At 48.3% G+C, this 22,497-nt stretch overlaps 1 protein-coding gene and 1 long non-coding RNA gene across 7 annotated transcripts in view, besides 2 other annotated features; one reads left to right on the forward strand and one right to left on the reverse strand.

Moving 5' to 3' along the window:
* The window catches only part of SDK1 (sidekick cell adhesion molecule 1), a 967,749-nt gene that overhangs the window by 816,178 nt on the left and 129,074 nt on the right, over positions 1-22,497 (forward strand). For 5 of the 6 annotated variants that reach the window (NM_152744.4, XM_047420038.1, XM_047420037.1 and 2 more), the window contains 3 exons: positions 9,952-10,067; positions 12,479-12,668; positions 14,896-14,994. In NM_152744.4, coding sequence (NP_689957.3) covers positions 9,952-10,067; positions 12,479-12,668; positions 14,896-14,994 — 405 coding nt within the window. Of the gene's footprint in view, positions 1-9,951; positions 10,068-12,255; positions 12,669-14,895; positions 14,995-22,497 lie in introns of those variants that run through there. The other variant, NM_001079653.2, reaches the window with a different exon arrangement.
* LOC105375131 (uncharacterized) lies at positions 10,183-17,408 on the reverse strand. The gene is made up of 2 exons (NR_158215.1): positions 17,322-17,408; positions 10,183-13,060 (listed from the first exon to the last, which is right to left on the reverse strand). It is a non-coding gene; the product is annotated as an uncharacterized LOC105375131 (long non-coding RNA).
* Positions 18,200-19,082: an enhancer, noted in NCBI's record as "OCT4-H3K27ac-H3K4me1 hESC enhancer chr7:4175261-4176143 (GRCh37/hg19 assembly coordinates)". NCBI's record gives its function as "activates a minimal SCP1, AML or CMV promoter by ChIP-STARR-seq in primed H9 embryonic stem cells {active_cell/tissue: H9 hESC(primed)}" and the evidence as "EXISTENCE:reporter gene assay evidence [ECO:0000049][PMID:30033119]".
* Positions 19,083-19,964: an enhancer, noted in NCBI's record as "H3K4me1 hESC enhancer chr7:4176144-4177025 (GRCh37/hg19 assembly coordinates)". NCBI's record gives its function as "activates a minimal SCP1, AML or CMV promoter by ChIP-STARR-seq in naive H9 embryonic stem cells {active_cell/tissue: H9 hESC(naive)}" and the evidence as "EXISTENCE:reporter gene assay evidence [ECO:0000049][PMID:30033119]".

The following is a 22,497-nucleotide window of genomic DNA, read 5'->3' on the forward strand; positions in this document are numbered from 1 at the left end:
TGCATTCCAGCCTGGCCAACGGAGCAGGTTATTATGCCTCTAAAAAATAAGTAAATAAATGAATTCATCAACACACTCATAAGAAAAACAGGGAAATCCTCAGGTGTCAGAGGCATAACAGGAACTAGAAAGAGTTCAGCAGGAAGTGCTGGGCTGGTGCCGCAGCTGCCCTGGGTGGGATAGGATCAGGTTGGATCTTTCCTGGTGGTTTCAGGACCTGGGGTAAGGAGTCTGCACCCTGGTCCTGGGCCCAGCAGTGCCCAGCACACTGTGGGCACCAGCACGCATCCAGTGTGTCTGCAGGTGCCACCGGGAACTGTAGATACACTGGGCAGGCCATGCAGTAACATGAGAGTCAGCTTTGAATCTGTGTAAGGGAAGAGTTAGGGCCTAAACTCCTGCAGTTGAGACACGGCTCTTGAAGGCCTTTCCCTCCTTCCTAGGAGAGGCTGAAACTCTGCCTGCAGAGGTTTGACTGTATGTCTACCTGGACTCTGAGTAGAGAATGAAAAGTCAGTCTGAGCCCTGTGCCCAGCTCAGGACTGGGTTTTGAATTTGCATTATATGGATGGCCCAGGAACTCCCAGAACAGAAATTAATGTAACATTTGGTTCCAGAAACCAAAAGCACGAGCAACTAAAGAAAAAGTAGATACATTAGACCTCATCAGAATGAAAACCTTTATGCTTCAAAGAATGTCATAAAGGAAATGAAAAAAACTCCCCAAATGGAAGAAAATATTTGCAAATTATGTATCTCATGAGGGATTTATATCTAGAATATATAAAGACTTCACAACAAAAAGACAAATGACCCAGTTAAAAACTGGGCAAAGGATCGGCATAGACATTCCTCCCAAGGAGATTTACAAATGGCCACCAAGCACATGAAAACATGCTCAACATCATTAACTGTTAGGGAAATGCAAATCTAAGCTGCAATGAGATACCACTTCACACTCCTAAAATAAGATGGCTAAAATAAGAAAAGTTGGACAATAACAGGTATTGGTGGGCATAGAGAAATTGGAATGCTTGTACGTTGCTGGTGGGAATATTAAATGATTCAGAAACGTTGGAAAACAGTTGGCATTCCTCAGGAGGTTGAGCAGGGAGTCACCATACGACAAAGCAACTCTACTCCTAGGTATGTACCCAAGAGAGCAGAAAACATATGTCTACACAAAATCTTGCACATAAATGTTCATAGCAGCTTTATCCATAGTAGCCGAAAAGTGGAAACAACCAAAATATCACTCAGTTGACAAATGGATAAATAAAATGTGGTCTATGCATTCAATGGATGATTCAGCAATAAAAAGGAATGGAATTCTGATACATGCTACAGTGTGGGTGAACCTTGAAAACATTAGGCTAAGTGAAAGAGACCAGGCACAAGAGACCACATATTGTGTGATTCTATTTGTAGGAAACATCTAGAATAGGCAAATCTAGAGAGGCAGAAAGTAAATTCATGGTTTCCTAGACTAAGAGAGAGCATTTGAGAGGAATGGGAAGTGATGGGTGATGGAAACAGAGCTTCTTTTGGGGATGATGAGATGTTCCAAAGTTCATCATGATGATGGTTACACAACTCTGAATTCACTAAAAAATGTTGAATTGTACAATTTAGGGGAATTGTATGATATATTAATAATCTCACAATAAGGCTTTAAAAAAAAAGCTCAGCCTTCCTGAGATTAATTTTATACAGATAAAATGTTATTAAAATAAGTATGGGCTGGGGGCTGTGATTCGTACCTGTAATCCCAACACTTTGAGAGGCAGAGGCAGGAGGATTACCAGGAGCTTAAGACCAGCCTGGGCAACATAGCAAGACCCCATCTCTACAAAATAAAAATAAAAACTATAGAAAATTAGCCAGGCATGGTAGCACATGCCTGTAGTCCCAGCTACTTGGGAGGCTGAGGCAGGAGAACTGCTTCAGCCCAGGAGGTCGAGCCTGCCATGAACTACGATCATACCCCTGCACTGCAGCCTGGGTGGCAGAGCAAGACCCTGTCTCTAAAAAAAATAATAAGAATGGCTCATAGATTGTACACTTTGCGTATGGTTGGAAGGCCCAGAAAATCTGTGTGTAATATCTTCTTACCCTCAGGGAAAACAGTGATCAACTCTTCCTGAAATAGTTACATATCATACCCCAATAAAGGATTTTACTCTCCTCCAAAAATAAAACAAAAAGAAAATACACAAAAAACTAAAGAAACATGGTTTCAGGCCAGACCATCTGGGCAATCAACAGAAGCAAAAATGATTCCTCTCTGGAGAGATATTGCCAAAGCCAAATTATCCAAAATAAAAAGCCTTTTTAAAGATGAATCACAATTGTCAAGCACACAGGCAATGATTTGCCATGAGTAAAAATGACCAGTTTTAAAAAAAGAGAGAAAGATAGAGGGCTTCAATTACATTAACATACATACAAGTCTGAGAGAAATATATAATAACTACATTTAAAATTATTAAAGTCTTAGTAAAATAAAGCGTTAACATTTTAAGTAAAGATTAAGGTACCATTTCTTAAAGCAGATTTGTTTTTAGAAAAAATAAATGGGACACAGTCATTGAAAATGAAAGCAGTTTAGACACTGTCAAAAAGAGAATTACCAAATTAAAAGCTAGATTTGAGTAAATAACTCTTAAAACAACATAAAGACATAAGATTGAAAATAGAGATTAAAAGACTTGAAGAACAGAATGAGATCTACCACATAGCTAATAGGACTCGAAAGAGGAAGCAAATGAGAGTTACAAAATACACAGAGATAATAGCCGAGAAATTCCAGGGTTGATGGAAAGCATTATTTACAAGACTGAAGAAACACCAATCCCGAGTGGAGTAAATAAAACTGAATTCATACCAAGATGTATTTGCTACAACTGTAAAATGCCAAAGAGAAAAATCTTAAAAACAATTGGAGTGAAAGGCAAATAATCACAAAGGCAAGACCATTTGACTGAGGTGACTATTCAGGAACAACAGAGGCCAGAAGACAATGGGATAATAATCTCGAAGGAGCTAAAAGCAAATAACTGCCAACCTCAAATTTTATACCCAGATAAACTAATCTTCCAGGATTTTATTCAGAAAACAGCAAAGTAAATGCTATATAAAAATGAAGACAATTTAATCAAAATAGATATATTGTTTTGATAATTTTTCAAATAATACTCTTTTTTTTGAGGTGGAGTCTCACTCTGTCACCTGGGCTGGAGTGCAGTGGCATGATCTTGGCTCACTGCAACCTCTGCCTCCTGGGTGCAAGCGATTCTCCTGCCTTAGCCTCCCAAGTAGCTGGGATTACAGGTGCCCACCACCATGACCAGCTAATTTTGTATTTTTAGTAGAGATGGGGTTTCACCATGTTGGCCAGGCTGGTCTTGAACTCCTGACCTCAAGTTATCTGCCCAACTTGGTTTCCCAAGGTGCTGGGATTACAGGCATAAGCCACCACACCCGGCCAAGAACACTCTTTTAAAAAAAAAAAAAAAGAAAGAAACCTATGGCAAAACTGCTGATTTGAGACTCTTTTTTTTTTAAACAAACATTTCCAGCTGTTGAAAACCTATCTTTATAGTAGTCAAGAGAATGCAGAGGATAATATTTTATGTGTAAATGTATTCCAGGGTTTTTCTTCTGACTTTGTTTTTTTTCAGACAATCTTGTATCATCTTTTACACAAGAACCCTGAGGAGACTTTCTCTAGCGATGTTGTTTATTTTTGTAGATGCTACTGTGTTTTAATTAATATTGAGATATAGATTTTGTATCAAAAGAAGCAAGTGGATTTACCTTTGTCCTAGCTGATTGTAGCATGTATGGTGATACGGTTTGGCTCCCTGTCCCCACCCAAATCTCATCTCAAATTGTAATCTCCACATGTCAAGGGAGGGACCTGGTGGGAGGTGATTGGATCATGGGGGCAATTTCCGCCATGCTGTTCTCATGATAGTGAGTGAGTTCTCACAAGATCTGATGGTTTTATAAGGGGCTCTTCCTCCTTTACTCTCTCTTTTCTCTCCTGCTGGCATGTGAGGAAGTTCCTTGCTTCCCCTTCACCTTCCATCACGATTGTAATCCTGAGGCCTCTCCAGCCATGTGTAACTCTGAGTCAATTAAACCTCTTTCCTTTATAAACTACCCAGTATTGGGTATTTATTTATCACAGTGTGAAAATGGACTGATACATATGGCTAGAGGGGAATCACATAGAGCCCTTGCAGAATCCCCTGTATCAGCCTCACTGTTTTTCTGTTCATAGTTCATGTTCTGTTCACTTGTTCAGAGGATTTTGATCAAGAGTAGGAATTGTTCTTGCAACTGAAGCTTTGTTTTGTCAGTTATTACATTCTTTCTTATTTTGAGGGTTATAGCTTATGGAAGGGTATTTTTTAGTTTCTAATTGAATGTGTGTTTAATTAGAAACTGGTGCAACACATATTGCTCTGGGAAAAAAAGTTTTGGTTCACGTGTTTCCATCAAAAATTTTATAATTGGGTTATTGATCTTCATTTCAAGATGTGGATGATTCAGATTCTGGACATGTTGAATGCTGGAATAACGAGCTCCCAGGGACCCCTCTTAGACCAGTCTCTCTTCTGGTTGGTGCTGGTGCTCCATCTCTGCCCGTCCTACCACCTGGGGAATCTCAGGGGCCCAGATGCTGCAGGACTTCCGCTCCCCCTCCTTGTGTTTAGCTCATCAGAATGGAGATTTCACAGCCTTCTTCTCTGGGAATCTCCCCACCTCTGACTGGCAAGGCCCTCCCAGGTGCAGCAGTTTTGACTTTGGGCCTTCCCTGGCCCTACTAACATCTGAAACTTACTCTCCCCAGCAGAAAACTCGATCCTTTTTTGAAATGGGGGGAGGCAGGGATGAGATGGGGAGGTGAAGGGGTTGCCAGGGCTGAATGGTGAGTGGACCTGATGGAGAGGGAGAAGGATTGGAGAGAGAATAAAACAACTGCCTTTTGTCTGAAATAAGTCTCCCCTCAATGGAAATAGCAGCTCCTGGGAGCTTAGGAATGGCCCAGTGTGCAGGAGTGCTGAAAACACGCAGAGAACACACAGCAGAATGCTCGGAGCCACATTTCAATGAAGTTTACAGTTTTGAAGTGCAGTTTAACAGGTTCTGTGACATCTTATGATATATTATGATATATTCTAAGGATAAATGAGGCCTTAAAAACCGAGAGAGACCACATGAGGAGGAACAGTGAGCTGCATAGTGTGAAATCCTACAGAGGGGAGAGAAAAAAATGAAGGAGAAAAGAAGCCATGGAATGGCTTTGTTTTTAATGAAAGGGGAATTCCCAAGAACATCTCAAAACGTAAGATGTCAGGTTGGAAAGGGAGTTGAATCTACTTCAAAATAGATGATGGGTAAGAGGTTTCTTTTTCAATTCTTGAAAACTTTGCAACTCCATGGCAGATCTTGTCCTCGTAGGATTTAAATGCGCTGAAATTTCCATCCTGAACTCTGCCATTTTCTTTGCTTTAGCTGCCTCACCTCCCTATCTCCACGTGAGAAGTTCAGCTGCGTTCAAAGCCCCGTTGGTGTCCGAATTGCTGCAATCCCCAGGTTGCCCTCTTTCTCCAGGGACGGGGTTGGCTCTCCAGTAAATACCTGCTCATCCCACCACATCTTAGAAAAACAGCTGTGATTTGTAGGTCTATAGGGAGAATTGGGCACTCACAGTTTCCCACAGGAAGCAGTTAAAGATTACAGAAGTAGACCATTTGTGTTGCTATGACAATGGCCTCTCTTTTTGCAGACAGGGACAGAGGTTTTAGAACCTGGTACCAACGTCTTGGGCATACAGTGTTTGGTGTTCTTACCTTATTCTAAATATATTCGGATACGTTGTAGGTTTACATTTTTTTTTTAATGTTAGTGCCCCCTTTAGCTCATAGTTGATTCAAGGTCCCAGTTTATCAAACTTTTGTATAAAATGAGCAATGTGCAAGCCATTTCCTGGTAACAGCCATGGTGGCATTTAAGACACCCTATGGGAGCTCTGTGCAGGCCCAGGGAGCAGGAGTGAGCCGGGTGGAGCCACAGCTGGAAGGCACCAGGGACTTGGGGCTGCATCTGTGACAAGCCCCCTTCCTCTTTGGAGAACTGAGCAAACTTCACATTGCAAGTATTCCCTTTCCGTGACACCTCTCTACTCAAATAAATGGATAGTATTTCATAGAAGCACTGAGTAACTGAATGAATGACTCTCAACTGACATATTTGGGAAGATTGGACTGGCTGGCATTATCTCCCTCCAAAAATAGAAGGGGGCTCACAGTGTTTTTATAGTGACAGGCATCACTGGGGGTTTTCTATTTTGTGGACACATTCACTGACCTACACCCAGCAGCCGATCTAATGTCCATGCAGGGAAGGTGCTCAGCATGGTAGGGGGAGAAGGGAAGGGAGAGATGCTGCCTCCCAGGGCTCTCAGGATCAGGGAGCGTGCCCCTTCCTGGGGGCAGGCATCCCAGGCCTTTGCTCTGCAGGTTCCTCTGTGGTTTCAGAGACCCCACAGGGTGTGGTGAGGGTTGCGGTGAGGCCACTGACTCGCGTCCTGAGGCTTAGTCATCCTCAGCCGCTGGCCCTGTTAGGCTATGGCCTGCTTTGGGGCTGTCCTTTCTCGCCCCTCCCTTGTCTAGGGAAACACCTGTTTGTGGTGGTGAGGCGAGAAGCTTCCCACACAGCATGAGAACAGCTCTTCTAGGATGCACATGAACCCTGGCATTGTCTTAAAGACTGTGTTCGTGTCATAGCAGAATGCCCCAAACGGGGTGGCTTAAATGACAGAAATGTTTTCTGTTACCATTCTGGAAGGTGGAATCTGAGCTGGAGGTGTTGGCAGGGCCATGATCCCCCTGAAAGCTTGGGAAGGATCTGTCCTGGGCCCCTCTCCAGCATCTGGTGGTTCCGTGGCTCGGACAGCCTCTCTCCCATGTCCCCACAGAGTTCTCCCTGTGTGTGTCTGTCTCCTCCCATGGCACTCTCCCTGTTGTGTGTCTGTGGACAAATTCCTTTTTTTATATGGGCACTAGTCATACTGGATCAGGGGCCCACCCTATGCAGTATGACCGCATCTTAACGAGTTACATCTGCAACAACTGTGTCTCCAAATAAGGTCACCTTCTGAGATACCGGAGGTTAGGATAACAAAATAAGGATTCAGGGGGCACAGGTTCAAGCCATAACAAAGATCAAACTACTCTCGTGTAGAAAATCTTGCAATTAAATGTCATAGGTTGCATTATTGTGCAAGCCCCCCACCATGTTACTTTCTGTCTTCAGACTAACTAACAGTGCTACCCTCTCAGTCTCTGTGTAATGAGGAAGTCTGAATGTCTGAAGGAATAGATGAGTGAATGGATGGATGGATAGGTGATGGGCGAATGGATGGATGGGTGGATGGTAGATGAATGGATGGGTGGATGGATGGATGGATGGATGGATGGGTGGGTAGATGGATGGATAGATGGATGGATGGATGGGTGATGGGTGGATGATTGGATGTATGGATGGATGATAGATGGATGAGTGAATGGATGGATGGGTAAATGGATGGATGAATGAATAGATGGATGGATGGATGGGTAATGGGTGGATGGATGGATGGATGGATGATGGATGGATGAGTGAATGGATGGATGGGTGAATGGATGGATGGAAAGATGGAATGATCGATTTATGGATGGATGGATGGGTGGATGGATGGATGGATGGGTGATGGATGGATGGATGGATGGATGGGTAGATGGATAGATGGATGATGGATGGAGGAATGAATGGATGGATGGGTGATGGATGGATGGATATGTAGATGGATAGATGGATGGAGGAATGAATCGATGGATGGGTGAATGGATGGATGAATGAATAGATGGATGGATGGATGGATGGATGAATGGATGGGTGATGGGTGGGTGGATGGATGGATAGATGGATGGATGATGGATGGATGGATGAGTGAATGGATGAATGGGTGAATGGATGAATGGATGGATGGATCACTGGATGGATTGATTGATGGATGGATGGATGGATGGATGGAGATGGATGGATGGTTGGATGGATAGATGAGTGGGTCTATGAAAGAGCAGAGGAAGTCCTCGCAAGTGTTCCTGCTACAGAGGTGCATGTGTGCATCCTGCTGTTCTTGGAGCCCTAGTAGGGCTTGTGAAGGAGAAGGAAACAGATGCTTCTACTCACCTCTGTGTGCCAGTGCCCTACCAGGCACCTCAGTGTTTGCTTTCATTCTCACTCTAAAGGCTAGGACTGGTCATAGCATCCTCCTTTCACTTTCTTCAAAACAACTAGCTATTGATCACCTGCTGACCAACAAGTGCTGACCACCAGGAGGGGAGAGTGAGAAGACTCTTAAGTAAGGAAGGTAGGCCAGGCTTAGCCTTTCACAAGTGGGACAACTGAGGCACAGGTGATCAGAGCAGCATCTCCAGCTCCCACCCTGAGTCCGGCCTTACTCCATCACTCCAGGCTATTTCCCTGGGTATCCTGGAGACCACCTGATTCAAAAGGAGACTTTGCCACCAAACAGTATCCTCCCAGAACCTCCGTTGCTTCATCTGCAGAGTGAACCCCCGAATGGGATATGGTGGACTTGAAGTGTCTCTCCTCCTTTTTCAACCATGGGGGCCCTGAAGTATGGCGGGATCTTCAGTCCCAGCTGAGAGCAGCTCCTCCATGCTGTTTATAAACAGGGCCTTCCCTGACTGCTAGGGGCTAGCTCAGGTCCAGGTTTTCCTATCTGAATGGTGTTTGAAGTTTAAATCGGTCCACAAGAAAATTAACAAAGCAAATGGAGATTGTCTAGAATATAATACCCTTGTTTTTAAAGTTTCACTGCTTTTATACATATTATATCTGAATCAGTGCAAACATATCAAGACAAATTAGTTCAGTGATGTTGTACACAGAAGAGAGATTTCATGAAAGTAAGAAAATGATCTTACATGTGGGCCGGGAGTGGTGGCTCACGCCTGTAATCCCAGCACTTGGGAGGCCGAGGCGGACAAATCACTTGAGGTCAGGCATTCGAGACCAGCCTGGCCAACATGGTAAAACCCCATCTCTAGTAAAAATTCAAAAATCAGCCAGGCGTGGTGGCACATGCCTGTAATCCCAGCTACTTGGGAGGCTGAGACAGGAGAATGGCTTGAACCCAGGAGGCGAAGTTGCAGTGAGCCAAGATCGCACCACTGCTCTCCAGTCTGAAATAAAGAAAAGAAAATTTTCTTACATGTGTATGGGTCGAGAATGGCATGGCTGGCCTCGGCTGCCCATCTCCTTTTAGAAAAACATTCATTGAAATGGATGAATGCGATTTTCTCAGCTTTAGTTTTCTGATCGGTAGAAAAGGGGTAACGATACCTACTTCATTGGGATCATTGTGGGATTAGATGCAATTATGTAACTGAAGGCAGTTGGCACAGACAGGCACTGGATAAGCACCTAGTCAACCTACCCTCCCTTCCCCTTCTTTTGTGTAAATCCTCACGCCCCCTTCTCTCTTCAGCTTCTCCTGTCCCTATCACAGAATACCACATTTAGAGCTGTCAGTGAACAGGCATGTGTCTGAAAGTCAGGATTTCCTATTTGAGATAAAAGTCTGCAGTTTCCACAAGTTAATACAGCAAACAGACCAAGCATCTTTTTTTTCTTGCTTGGTGGACTCAGGTAAAATTGAGCTGCTAAGTACCCAGGATTTATGGAATTTGTTGCTAATATTAAAGAGATTTACATGTCCGTTATACTCCTGTAGGTTTAATCTGATCACTACAAAATGCTTAGAATACGTTGCTATTTCAAGGACAACTTGATTATTTGGGTGAAAGCTGGATCTTTGTATGTAGACACTCTAGATTTTGGATGCTAATCTACTTCATTGGTTCTTTGCAGTTCCTTCAGCCGCCCCTGAGAACGTGTCAGCCGAGGCTGTCAGCTCGACCCAGATTTTACTGACATGGACATCCGTGCCGGAACAGGACCAGAATGGGCTCATACTGGGCTACAAGGTGTGTGATCACAGGATGACCTCCCTTTGCTTAAAGAGTGGGCTGGGGAAATGGGAGCATGTGCTATTCCCCCAAAGCAACGAGCTTCCTCTTCTCCTACAGATCTGCAGCGTCAGCCAGTTTGTGATTTTTATTAAGATATTCAGTTGTCTTATCTAAGCCTCATTGCAGCCTGGGAATTAGGCATCAGTATAACTATGACACAAATGCCAAAACAGGGCACCAGAAGAAAAGCACAGCCGGAGTGGAACTGACCTCCGGGCCTGCGCCTGACTCTGCCCTCGCTGGCCTCAGTGCCGCGGGCCAGTTACTGAAGCCCTGTGCTTGTGTCTCCCCGCTTGTAAAACGGGAATAACGATGGTAGCTTTGTCCCAGGGTTGGTGTGAGAATTCAGGGGGTCTTTTACACAGCACGCCTTGCTCATGTGAAGGGCTGGGTGAGGTGGATCGCTGTGTGCATGTTTCTATGTGTGTCATCACGGTCCTAGCAATGGCATCCGCTGGCAGGGTTGAATCTGTCCCAGCTTCTCTGGGGAGCCATTTCTGGGTTCCATCTTCCATGCATCCACCCCACCCCTTTAAAACCCCCTTCTGTTCCTCGTTCCATCACTCGGGGCGACAGGCTCTGTCTCCCCATCTGCTCCTTGGCTCAGCAATGCCAAGCATCAGAATGAGCTGTTTCGGACCCGGCCAGCGAGGCCACGCTTGTCTCAGTGCTGCTCCCTGGGTTTTGAGCGTGCCTCCTCCACCTTTCCGTACTTCACATCCCTATTCTTTGTTTTCCCCGCCTGCTCTCCCATGTCTTCTCCCTTCCCCGGGTGTTCTAAGTGCGCCCTGCTGGCTCTGTGACACATGGCAGTCCCGTTGAGGGGATTCAGTGACCAAAACTTCACACCACATTCCTGGGGCCCCGAGAAACGCGCTTGCTGTGCTATTTTCAAACACCTCCCTGCTGATGCTATCCTTTATGGCCTTCCAGGTCCCCGATCTCAGGGAGCAGTTCAGAGAAGGTGGGCATTGAGTGAGGTCTTAGCAGGAGGCCCTGGAGCAGAGCAGCTTGGGGTGGGGTGCCCTGGAGGAGAGCATAGAGGAGAGCAGCTTGGGGTGGGGTCCCCTGGAGGAGAGCAGCTTGGGGTTGGGTGCCCTGGAATAGAGCAGCTTGGGGTGGGGTGCCCTGGAATAGAGCAGCTTGGGGTGGGGTGCCCTGGAATAGAGCAGCTTGGGGTAGGGTGCCCTGGAATAGAGCAGCTTGGGGTGGGGTCCCCTGGAGGAGAGCAGCTTAGGGTTGGGTGCCCTGGAGGAGAGCACCTTGGGGTAGGGTGCCCTGGAATAGAGCAGCTTGGAGTGGGGTCCCCTGGAATAGAGCAGCTTGGGGTGGGGTGCCCTGGAGGAGAGCAGCTTGGGGTGGGGTCCCCTGGAGGAGAGCAGCTTGGGGTGGGGTCCCCTGGAGGAGAGCAGCTTGGGGTGGGGTCCCCTGGAGGAGAGCAGCTTGGGGTGGGGTGCCCTGGAGGAGAGCACAGAGGACAGCAGCTTGGGGTGGGATCCCCTGGACTAGAGCAGCTTGGGGTGGAGTCCCCTGGAATAGAGCAGCTTGGGGTGGGGTGCCCTGGAAGAGAGCAGCTTGGGGTGGGGTCCCCTGGAGGAGAGCAGCTTAGGGTTGGGTGCCCTGGAGGAGAGCACCTTGGGGTAGGGTGCCCTGGAATAGAGCAGCTCGGGGTGGGGTCCCCTGGAATAGAGCAGCTTGGGGTGGGGTGCCCTGGAGGAGAGCAACTTGGGGTTGGGTGCCCTGGAATAGAGCAGCTCGGGGTGGGGTCCCCTGGAATAGAGCAGCTTGGGGTGGGGTGCCCTGGAGGACAGCAGCTTGGGGTTGGGTGCCCTGGAATAGAGCAGCTTGGGGTGGGGTGCCCTGGAGGACAGCAGCTTGGGGTGGGGTACCTACAGCATGCACAGCTGCAGATGGCCCAAGGAGGCCAGAGCTCCCGGTCTGTGTGAGGACAGCAGGTCTTCTGGGGCAGGAAACCAGCTTCCATGGCTGGAAAACCCAGGGGGCTGCTGGCTCCTGTGGCAGGAAGCAGAGTGTTGTCTGTGTTCATAATCGAGTCTTTGTTTTAGTGGCTGTGGTTGGCATGGCTGCAGTTGGGCCCTCAGATCTTGCAGATTATGACCAGGCAGCAGGCTCGCCAAGCCGTGGGCACTAACTCAAGCTCCCCTGGAGCGCAGTCACTTTACAACCACCTTCCTCCCCAAATGCCAGCATGGACAAATTAGATCCAGAAGCCCTGCACACAGCCATCCTCAGGGAGAAAGCACAGTTGGCTGGGCCTTGATTCACGAAGGGGGCCTGCCCCATGCCACGGCGGTCCCTCCTGGCACCCGCCTCCTGATAACCCTCGTGCTGTGTCGATACCACAGATCCTGTTCCGGGCCAAAGACCTGGATCCCGAGCCCAGGAGCCACATCGTGCGAGGGAACCACACGCAGTCGGCCCTGCTGGCAGGCCTGCGCAAGTTCGTGCTCTACGAGCTCCAGGTGCTGGCGTTCACCCGCATCGGGAACGGGGTCCCCAGCACGCCCCTCATCCTGGAGCGCACCAAAGACGATGGTAGGTCCAGGGTTCGCGCCTTCGGGAGCCTTGCTGCCTCCCAGGTTGGCCTTTCCAATGCAAACAATTTGGATTGTTGTCGCTTTTAACTTAATTTTCAAACCACTTTCTTTTGCAGTTGAGGGAAACAAAACAAAATTGTTTTTCAGTCACTGAGCACTTATATGGCCAATTTCAGCCTGGAGTGGATTTTTACAGCCTAATTATGAACCTGTACTGAGTTTCCCTCATAACTCTGCCGTGGGCAGTGCTGGGGAGAGGCAGCAGAGGCTGGGGCGGGGCCGAGCTGTGGATGTCAGCTGTGGACGCTCCTCTTGGCAGGGGCTCCACACACTTCGTGTAGTGCCCCCTTATCTGGCAACACATCCCAGGACCCCAGGGAATGCCTGAAACTGCAGATAAAAGGAGACTACTATAGTTTAAAAAATCCACAGTGGACCTCATGCCTTACTTCCCTCGGTACTGCCCCGTCTCACTGTTTGCATTGTGGGAGGTAATTAGAGGTTATAGAAAGCCCCGTGCTGGATGGCCCAGGGTCCCCAGCTCCCTGAGTTTCTGGACCTGAATCACAAGGACGCCTTGCCAGCTTTGTTTTCATGGAACTCTAAATCATCGGTAAATATGTTTTCCCACTCTGCAGATGTCAAACACATAAAGGTTAGCGCCTTTACATTTTCATTATTAAACAGACTGTAATGAATACATCAGGGAGAGAAATGCGGATCTCTCCCGCCACAACACCCACCCTGGGGATCGGAGTGGCTGAAGAAGTGAAACACCTGTAGGTTTTCTTAAGCATCTTTGCTGAGTAACTAAATGAGCCCGAAAGTCCTCTTAACTGCTGAGTGGAAAGCACTCTCTCCACGTTGCTGAGAGAGTGCCACCCCTGATCCTCGCCTCGCCTCACGGAGAGACGGGAACCCTGCAGAAGGCTTTGTCCATCCTTCCCTGACACAAGGTCTCAGGCTAGAGGGAGATCCAGGAGGGAATGGGAATGTGGGTGTTGTTTCCTTGCAAAACTATCTCCTGCTCCAGTGTATTCCAGGTTTCCCAGATGAAAGTAAAAATGGGCCTATTAGAAACTGTGTGTAACAGCAGGCCCACTGCAACTGTTCCCTCCTGAAGCAGGCGCTGGTGAGTCCTGGAATGCCGCTGCTTCCTCTCCCACAGCGCTCCTGTAGACATGCCTTCCTCCTCTGCTTTCCAGCATAATCCCCATAAACAGCCTGGGAGAGGGCTCAGGGGAGCAACGCTGCTTAAGTCTGAAGTCAGCGTTTGCGTATCTGTGACTTAGTCCTAGTTGGGAGCCTGTGGCCTCCTACAGACATTTATTTCACCCCAAAATAGGCGTCATAACACACATTCAGAATTTAAAATACTGTTCCCAGCTTCATAGCCAGGGACAGACGTCAGCGGCCCAGAACGACGAACATACATCCTTTTATTTTGATATTGATTGTTTCATGCCCATTGCCTCTTACCTGGGAATCGGTCAGTTATTAATTCCAACAAGAAGCTCTCATACTGGCCACACACTTACTTGCCTGTTCGTTTAAGTAAATGTATTTTATGAGGGCCACAACCCTATTATTCAGCAGTTCCACCACACCTAGCTGCTTTTTCAGTTATTGGTGCCCCGAACCACACACAAGAATTATTATATGCATTTGTGCACACCAACTCTTAATTATCTAGGATGATGCAGGAGAGAGGTGGCATGCCTACGAGAGAAATGATTGAGGATACACATGTTATTTCATCAGAAATTGTAACCTCCGTTAGAGTTGGGAGGAACTTCAGGCCGCCTCATCTACCACCTGCTTTGCAGATGTCAAACCCAGTAAGGGAATCCGAGCTCAGATGAGGGAAATCCTTCCTCTCAACCTGATGTTTGCTCTCAGAGTCATTTAGTGACTGGTCTACTTGTGTCCTGGTAGGCTGGTTACACTCACACTATTCCTGGCATAGTTCGTGAACCCTGCTTTTGAGTCTTGGAAAGCAGACGGGCAGGGTTTAAAGGGAAGTGTTTGCTCAAGATCCTTAGGGAGCCACACTACCAGTGACATTCCAAAAGTCATCAGTCCAAAACTTTAGGGGGTTCTAAACCCACGACAGTGTAGCCTGTGGTAGTTACTGCAGCCAGCTGACCCTCGGAATCCTGTGTAACCTGTCACGCACCCAAGGAACACTGTCTTGAGATCTGAATCCCTGTGGTTTTTCCCTTCAGCCCCAGGCCCACCAGTGAGGCTCGTGTTCCCCGAAGTGAGACTCACCTCCGTGCGGATAGTGTGGCAACCTCCGGAGGAGCCCAACGGCATCATCCTGGGTAAGGGAGCGGCGGTGGCCGGGCGTGGTGGCTCAGGCCTGTCATCCCAGCACCTTGGGAGACCGAGGCAGGTGGTTTGCTTGAGCCCAGGAGTTCAAGACCAGCCTGGGCAACATTGTGAGACCCCATCTCTCCAAAGAAAAAATTCAGACTATTAGCCGGGCATGATGGCATGCACCTGTTGGTCCCAGCTACTTGGGAGGCTAAGGTGGGAGGATCGCTTGAGCCCAGGAGGTTGAGGCTGCAGTGAGCCAAGATTGCATCACTGCACTCCAGCCTGAGAGAGAGTGCAAGACCCTATCCCCAAAATAAGAAAAAAAAAGGAGTGATGGTATTTAAAAGGAGAGAAATAACAATCAAGTTGATGTCTTCCGTGTTTGTTAGATGTTTATGAGGTTAAACAAAAGGCTGTCTCCAGCAGCCTAGCATTTCCTGAACCGAGATGATCATGGGCCTCTTGACTGTTTTCTGAGCTACGTACTAAAGGTTTTTCTTATGGAATGAAATTCACATTTTTTTAACGTGGAATTTCTTCCATTCGTTTGCGGCTCATGGCGATACCGTTTGTAACCGACCTTCCCTTCCTCTCTGAAATATCAGGCTATGTTGATGTGTGTTTGAGAAACAACAGGCTAGTTTTTCAGAGAAGATGCAGACCTAGCCTTGGTTCCCATGTTCCTGGAAACATCTTTCTGCTGCAGCACTTGCACCCAATCCTTGTAAGAAGCCGCTGAGATGAAGCGCATGCCCTGGGTCCCGGGGAACGCGTTTACTTCTGACTTTTCAGCATTACAGCCAGCATACCAACTCTGGTAACACAGATGAAAAGCCTGAATTTTTCCGTTCCCCAAAGCAACAAATTCTATTTTAAAACATCCCAGTTCCTTGACTCATTCACCCTTTCACAGAGACAAAGTAAGGACTTTCCCTGTGCAGGTGTCGTATGTACAGTGGGGGGTGAGGAATGAATGAGGTGTGCCTGTCCTCAAGTTGCCCACAGTCCCGTAAGGGAGACACATGTTGAGAGTACAGTGAGATAAGCCATCTGAAAGAGGTTTCATTCAGTGCCTCACACACAGCTCCTTCTGGGTGGGGTCTCTGTGGGTGGAAGTCTCCTTTTGAGAGGGATCTGGAGATAGGTGGCTTCTAAAGCCTTGGAAGAAGGGAAGGGGGCTGTCCACTCAGCCAAGACCGAATGCTTTCAGCCTTTGGGAGCACTGACAGCTCCAAGGCTGGGGATGGAGGCTGGGCCGGGTCTTGAGCTACTGTGAGCTCCCTGCTGTGTCCTGGAGAATGTGGCCCTGAGACCTGGACGTTTTAAACTGGCCTGTTAGAGGCAAGTGCAGCAGCCACAGAACATTGCCCCAGCCCCAGGTTAGCTCTCGGGATATTGCCATACCAGACACCCCGATTCGGCTAGCCTGTGTTCTAGGTGATTTACGGTAAAGTTATAAACCCAGACTTACAAACAGGTGGTAAAATTCACCACTTTTGCCTGCATTTGATCTTAGGATTCTAAGACTTGGTTTGAAGAAAGAGTTTCACATCACTAAAAAAAAGTTTGGAGGCCTGTGTTGAACGGCAGCAGGAATTCATCCAAGGTCTTTGAGTGGGAAAGCTGCGCAATCAGATTTGCCTTGTAGGTAATCACTCCGGCAGCCTGAGAAGGGTGGACGGAAAGTCAGATATTTATTGAGCCCTTGCTTCCCTGAGAGGGGGCCTGGAGCTTCCTAAGTCTTCTGCACAAGGAGGCTGTGACCTATTTTCGCTTTGCCTCTTTCTTTATGTGATTTCTGGAGTTGCTAGACAGAAGTGTTTGGCTTTGAGTACGGCATTTCTCAATCAGGTGACCTTTGGAATTGCGGGTTCCTGCTACTAAAATCTCAGTTGAGCAGCCACCTTGGAGGTGAGCATTTCAGGGCCTGGCCCGGCGGAGAGGGAGCTATGAGCCACATCTGGTGCCTGCGCAGTGAGCCCAGTCTTGGGGTAGGAAATGGTCTGCCCAGCAGACAGCTGTGGCGAGGAGATTTGCAGGAGCCCCACCCAGGCAGGCCCTAACCTCAGCACAGCACCCAGGCATCAGCCTTTTCTGGAACAAGCAGGGCTAATATCTGATTACCCGGGAGCTGTCCCCAGCATGCTGTGAAACAAGAAACATTGACAGAGTCACAGGAGTCCACAACAACAGTGTTCCCCGTGAAGAAGCAGGCTCGCCCCAGCCCCACCTCCACCCTGGCAGGGCCCCTGGCTCCCACTGCCGGCCTCGGTAGACCCTCCCGGCAAGTCCTCACTCTATGGTCACCTCCGTCCACTCACTGTCAGCTTACCGGGCTGCCAAGGATCAGTTCTGGAGTGCGGAGGCGTGGGAGCGGTGCAGGAGCAAAGCATGTGCTTCATCTGTGCTTCTCTCTTGCCACAGACGGACGCGTGCTCAGATTCCAGTACTGTGACTTTGACCCAGGGCGTCCTTGCACACGTGGGGAGGCTCTGGCCTCAGCCGGCTCTAGGCCCCGCCCTCTGCCTGACACCCACTTCAGGGCATCTGCCCTTTCTGAGGACTCACGCCGATGTCCTCTGTAGCCCCGGGTCCTCACTGCCCCGCTCCCTGCACGTGTCTACCTGGTGAGGCTTCTCCTCAGCACGCCCGCCGGAGTGAGGCCCGCTGTCCACTGAGCCCATCAGCTGGTTTTATCATCTGTCGTTTACTTTCCAGACTGTCTCTGACATTTCTTTTTCCGATGACAAGAGCACTATAAAATGATAATTGAGGCCACAATGAAATCCCATTTCACATTCGCCAGATTTGGCACCATAAGTAGCTGTGATAATGCCAAGTTTACATGAGGATCTGGAGAAACAAGACCCCTACACCCTTGCCAGGAGCGGGAGTTTGTGCGTCCACTTTGGGGAGTGCTCACCAGGAAAGGTGAGCGCATTCACACTGCACCCCAGACGCTCTGCACTTCCAGGCCTTCGCCCTAGAGAAATTCTTGCCTGTGTGCACAAGGAGAAACGTACAAGGATGTTCATTACAGATTCACTGAAATAGCAAGAAAGAAAGCAGCTGTCGTCTGCACAAGTCAGATGGCACGAACCTTGGGGCTGCCTGCTTTTCCTTTCCCCTGTGTTTTCAACACTGCATCACGGACAAGTAGGCCGGCAGCCTGGGTAACGTTTTGGACTCAGATCTCAGCCTATGCTTATTAGCTGAGTGAATTTATGCGTGTTTCTTAGCATTCCCATGCCTCAGTTTCCCCATCCCTCAAAGGGGAAGCACATTCGTGCCTCCCTCACTGGTTAGAGTTGCACTTAGAACAGTGCCTGCCACATAGTGAGTGCTGAGTAAACGTTAGCTTCCGTATCAGATCGAATATTTCATCGTTTCCCTGGCACCAGAGGAGGCTGGAGGCTCCCTGGACTTGAGAGCTCCTCCTAGACCATTGGGGGCTCAGCCTGGTCCTAGTATTCCCGTTGCATGCAGCAGTGGTGTGCTGCCTTGATTTGTCCTCCATAACTCTGGTTGCTGAAGCAGAGGCTTCTTGCCGACAAGAGAAAGAAAACTTAGAAGGCTGCTTGGGTTACAGAGTGTTCCTAAAGTGCGTCGGGAGGTATGGATCTTGATTTGTGGTCACTGAAAGCCACTGAAGCCCAAGTGAGGAGAAGGATAATCACTTAAATACTTTGAGCCCTCCAACCGTGCTGAACGCTGCTGAATCACACAGCACCGTGTCTACCTGCGAGGCAGACAACGTCACTGCCGAGCCTCCTCTGTCATGCAGCATTGGCTTGTAATTGTAATGCATGTTGTCCGGGTAACCTGTCACCCATGGGTCATTACAGCCGGCACACCACACGGCGGAGGCTGCAGGAAGACAGGAAGACAATTCCTGCAAATTCAGATGGGTGTTCACAGGGGAGAAAGCAAAACATCTTTTCGTCTGACTCACTTTACATCCAGAGACCTTGAATCAATGTTCCCACTCTGGCAGCTTGGCCTTCTGAGTACATAAACACCTCTGCCGCCCGAGCTTTTGTAATCTATATCAAAACATGTTCTTGCATTTCCAAAAGAGATTAACAGCGTGAACCACAGCAGGCACCTAGAGGAGAAAACACTTGCTTATTTGCGTAAATATTTTACTGTGGAGTGCTTTTAGCATTTAGAACTTTTCTTTGGGGGGATGGGGTTGGAACCCCCTGAGTACAGACGTCCCTCCCTCACCCACCAGCTGACACCACATGGCCTTGACTGGTATTACGCTAACGTGATGATGCGTGAGCTCTTCAGACCCACTTGGGCCTGCCCTGGCCAGACACGCGGGATCCCGCCCTGCCAGCAGGAGGGCCTAACATTTACCTTTAAGCTTATTACGAAGGGTGTGCGGGAACTCTGCGGAGAATCAGGAGCTCCAGCAAGTATGATCCCTGTTGGCAGATTCAGCGTTTTGATCCCCAGCCCTTGGATGGATAAGCTGCAAAACCCACAGGCCACGGCATCTAGGCTCGGCCAGCGTGGGCGTCCTGGGGCGATTCAGTGGCTTGCGGGTTCTCTGACCCACTTGCCCACCAACAGCAGCTGCAGAGAGATCGGCAGCACGTGCCCCAGATGGTCGTGCTTTGGAGTCATGAGCGCTGGGGTCCCAGTGATGCTCACTGAACAGCAACTCTCAGACAATGCCTTTTGTTTCCCAGGGAAGTGCACAATTTATTAAAGGTTTGCAACTAGCTGGGCACGGTGGCACACACCTGTAATCCCAGCTACTCAGGGGGCTGAGGCATGAGAATGGCTTGAACCCGGGAGGCGGAGGTTGCAGTGAGCCAAGATCGTGCCACTGCACTCCAGCCTGGGTGACAGAGCGAGACTCTATCTCAAAGGCTTTGCAGCCACCTAAAACGTCCGGATAGAAGTCTCCAAATTGCTCTGTGTATAGCTGTGCGGCGTCAGTCTTCAGGCTGACCTGGAGCTGAGATGCCTACAAGGCTTCCAGTATCCAGCCTCAGCTCCTTAGTGCCACCTTCTTGTGTCTCGAGCAGTGGACGGTTCTGGAACTTGTCTCAGGCCCGTGGCGCAGTCCCTTTCTGGATTCTGATTGTCTAAATGTGCAGTGCCACCTCCGTCTTCCAGGTGTATTCAGAAACCCACTCAGGCCTCTCACTTGATGTTTTTAATCTTCCATTTGGATCAATGTGTCTCGTACTTGGCCTTGCTCCTTTTAATGCTCATATTATCATAATTCACCCATACCCTTAAAAACAGGGCTCCTCGTAAGCCGCATTTTACTGCTGCTATTGATTCGGCCTGTTCATTCCTCCCTCGCACACGCCGCCGTCTTCTGGCCTTGCGTCGCTGAAGTGCAGCGCACTGATGTTTCTGATCTCGCTGTAACCGTAATTACATAACTAGCCTTTTCCACAGAAACGCTCTTATCTCTGAACACCATCTATCATTATTCTCTAAAAATGCAAGGACTGCTACTCAGCTGCTCCTTTGTGCCATTTATGTACAGAAAAAAAGCTGTCTTCTATTGTCCATCGAGTCTAGGACTTTTTAAACGTGTCAAGGTGAGCTATAGGCATTCATCTTTATGTTCAGCAGACCGTGGTGTGGCGACCAGCTGATATTATCTTTATTTTAGGGCAAATAATAGGAAGGTACAAATAGAACACACAGGCCAAGGAGTTTTCTTCCAGTGCCTAGGGAACCAGATCAGAGAGAGAAGAAGAACCCAGATTTCTGCAATTAGCAGGGATGCCGTCGTGCTTTGCAATCTGCATACATTGTCTCACTGGGGCTTTGCCAGGCCTGCATCCTAAAGGTCAGGGGAGGGGAGGGCGACCCCACTGCAAACTCCCCCCTTCCTACTTGGGTCCAGCGGCACTGCCACGCAGTGCACTATTAAACAGTCATTAAAATTCATGCTTCTAAAGGGAAAACATGCTTTTGTTATGTTGTGCAGAAATCGCAGAATGAAAAACTCATACTGAGTGTGGAAATCCGGGTTTGTTGAGTACTCATATGCGTAGAAAAATGATTACCAAAGGCCAGGCATGGTGGCTCATGCCTGTAATCCCAGCACTTTGGGAGGCTGAGAAGGGTGGATCCACGTGAGGTCAGGAGTTCGAGACCAGCCTGGCCAACATGGTGAAACCCCGTTTCTACTAAAAATACAAAAATTAGCTGGGCATGTTGGCACACACCTGTAATCCCACCTACTTGGGAGGCTGAGGCAGGAGAAGCATTTGAACCTGGGAGGCAGAGGTTGCAGTATAGCCGAGATCATACCATTACACTCCAGCCTGGGCAACAATAGTGAAACTCTGTCTCAAAAAAAAAAAAGAGAGAGAAAGAAAGAAGAAGGAAGGAGGGAAGGAAAAGAAAAGAAAAGAAAATTGATGACTAAAAAAAGTCCCAAGACAGCTACAGTTATCTCTGAGTGGCAGCATGGTCCTCCTGCAGACCAGCATACCATCACCCCAGCTTCCAGGCCATCACCTGGGACTCTGCCCAGGGGCTTTCTGTGGCTGCCGGAGCCTGCTAGGTTTTGAGGACTGGGCCATACATTCAAGGGGTGCCCCCAACAGCCCTTAGCCAACCGCTGAGAGGCAGTGGGCGCACACTGCAGCTCCCCCCGTGTCATGTGTTGGGGACGAGGCTAACAGGTTCTCCACCGGCCCCCACAGTGGGAGGAGCCCAGCCCCACGGCCCCTGCCTTGATGCACACACGTTCATCAGCTTCTTCTCCGTGTCACTTCTCTACCCACCCCCCATTTCCTGGAGTGACCTCCCAAATCGCCACTTGCACTCCAGTCCTGGCCTCAAGGTCTGTTCGTGGGGCACCCACCCTAGGGCCAAAGGTGATTTCATGGGTTTTTTTTTCCTGCTTTTTTTGGGTGGCTTTTATACAAAAGAAGCATCTATCTATCTGTATGTATAAACAACTATATATGTGTGTATATATGTACGTGTGTGTGTATATGTGTGTGTGTATATGTGTGTGTGTGTATGTATATATGTGTGTGTATATGTGTGTGTATATGTATATATGTGTGTGTATATGTGTGTGTATATATGTGTGTGTGTATATGTATATATGTGTGTGTATGTGTGTGTGTATATATGTGTGTGTATATGTATATATGTGTGTATATGTGTGTGTGTATGTGTGTGTATATGTATATATGTGTGTGTATATGTGTGTGTGTATATGTATATATGTGTGTGTATATGTGTGTGTGTATATGTGTGTGTGTATATGTGTGTGTGTGTATGTGTGTGTGTGTATGTGTGTGTGTGTGTATGTGTGTGTGTGTGTATGTGTGTGTGTGTGTGTGTGTATAATCTTGAAAAGCTGAAGCCCCAGGAGCGCTATGGGACTGAGGGGCTGAGAGCTTTAGCACCGCATCAGAGGGCCTCGCCCTGCGCTGTCTGGGCTGTCTTGGAGCTGGGTGGAGCCCTCGGGACTCAGGCAGGGAGAGTCCATCGATGGGAACGATCTGGTAATG

Source organism: Homo sapiens, chromosome 7 (genome assembly GCF_000001405.40).
Source record: "Homo sapiens chromosome 7, GRCh38.p14 Primary Assembly".
In the NCBI taxonomy this organism is placed as follows: Eukaryota; Metazoa; Chordata; class Mammalia; order Primates; family Hominidae; genus Homo; species Homo sapiens.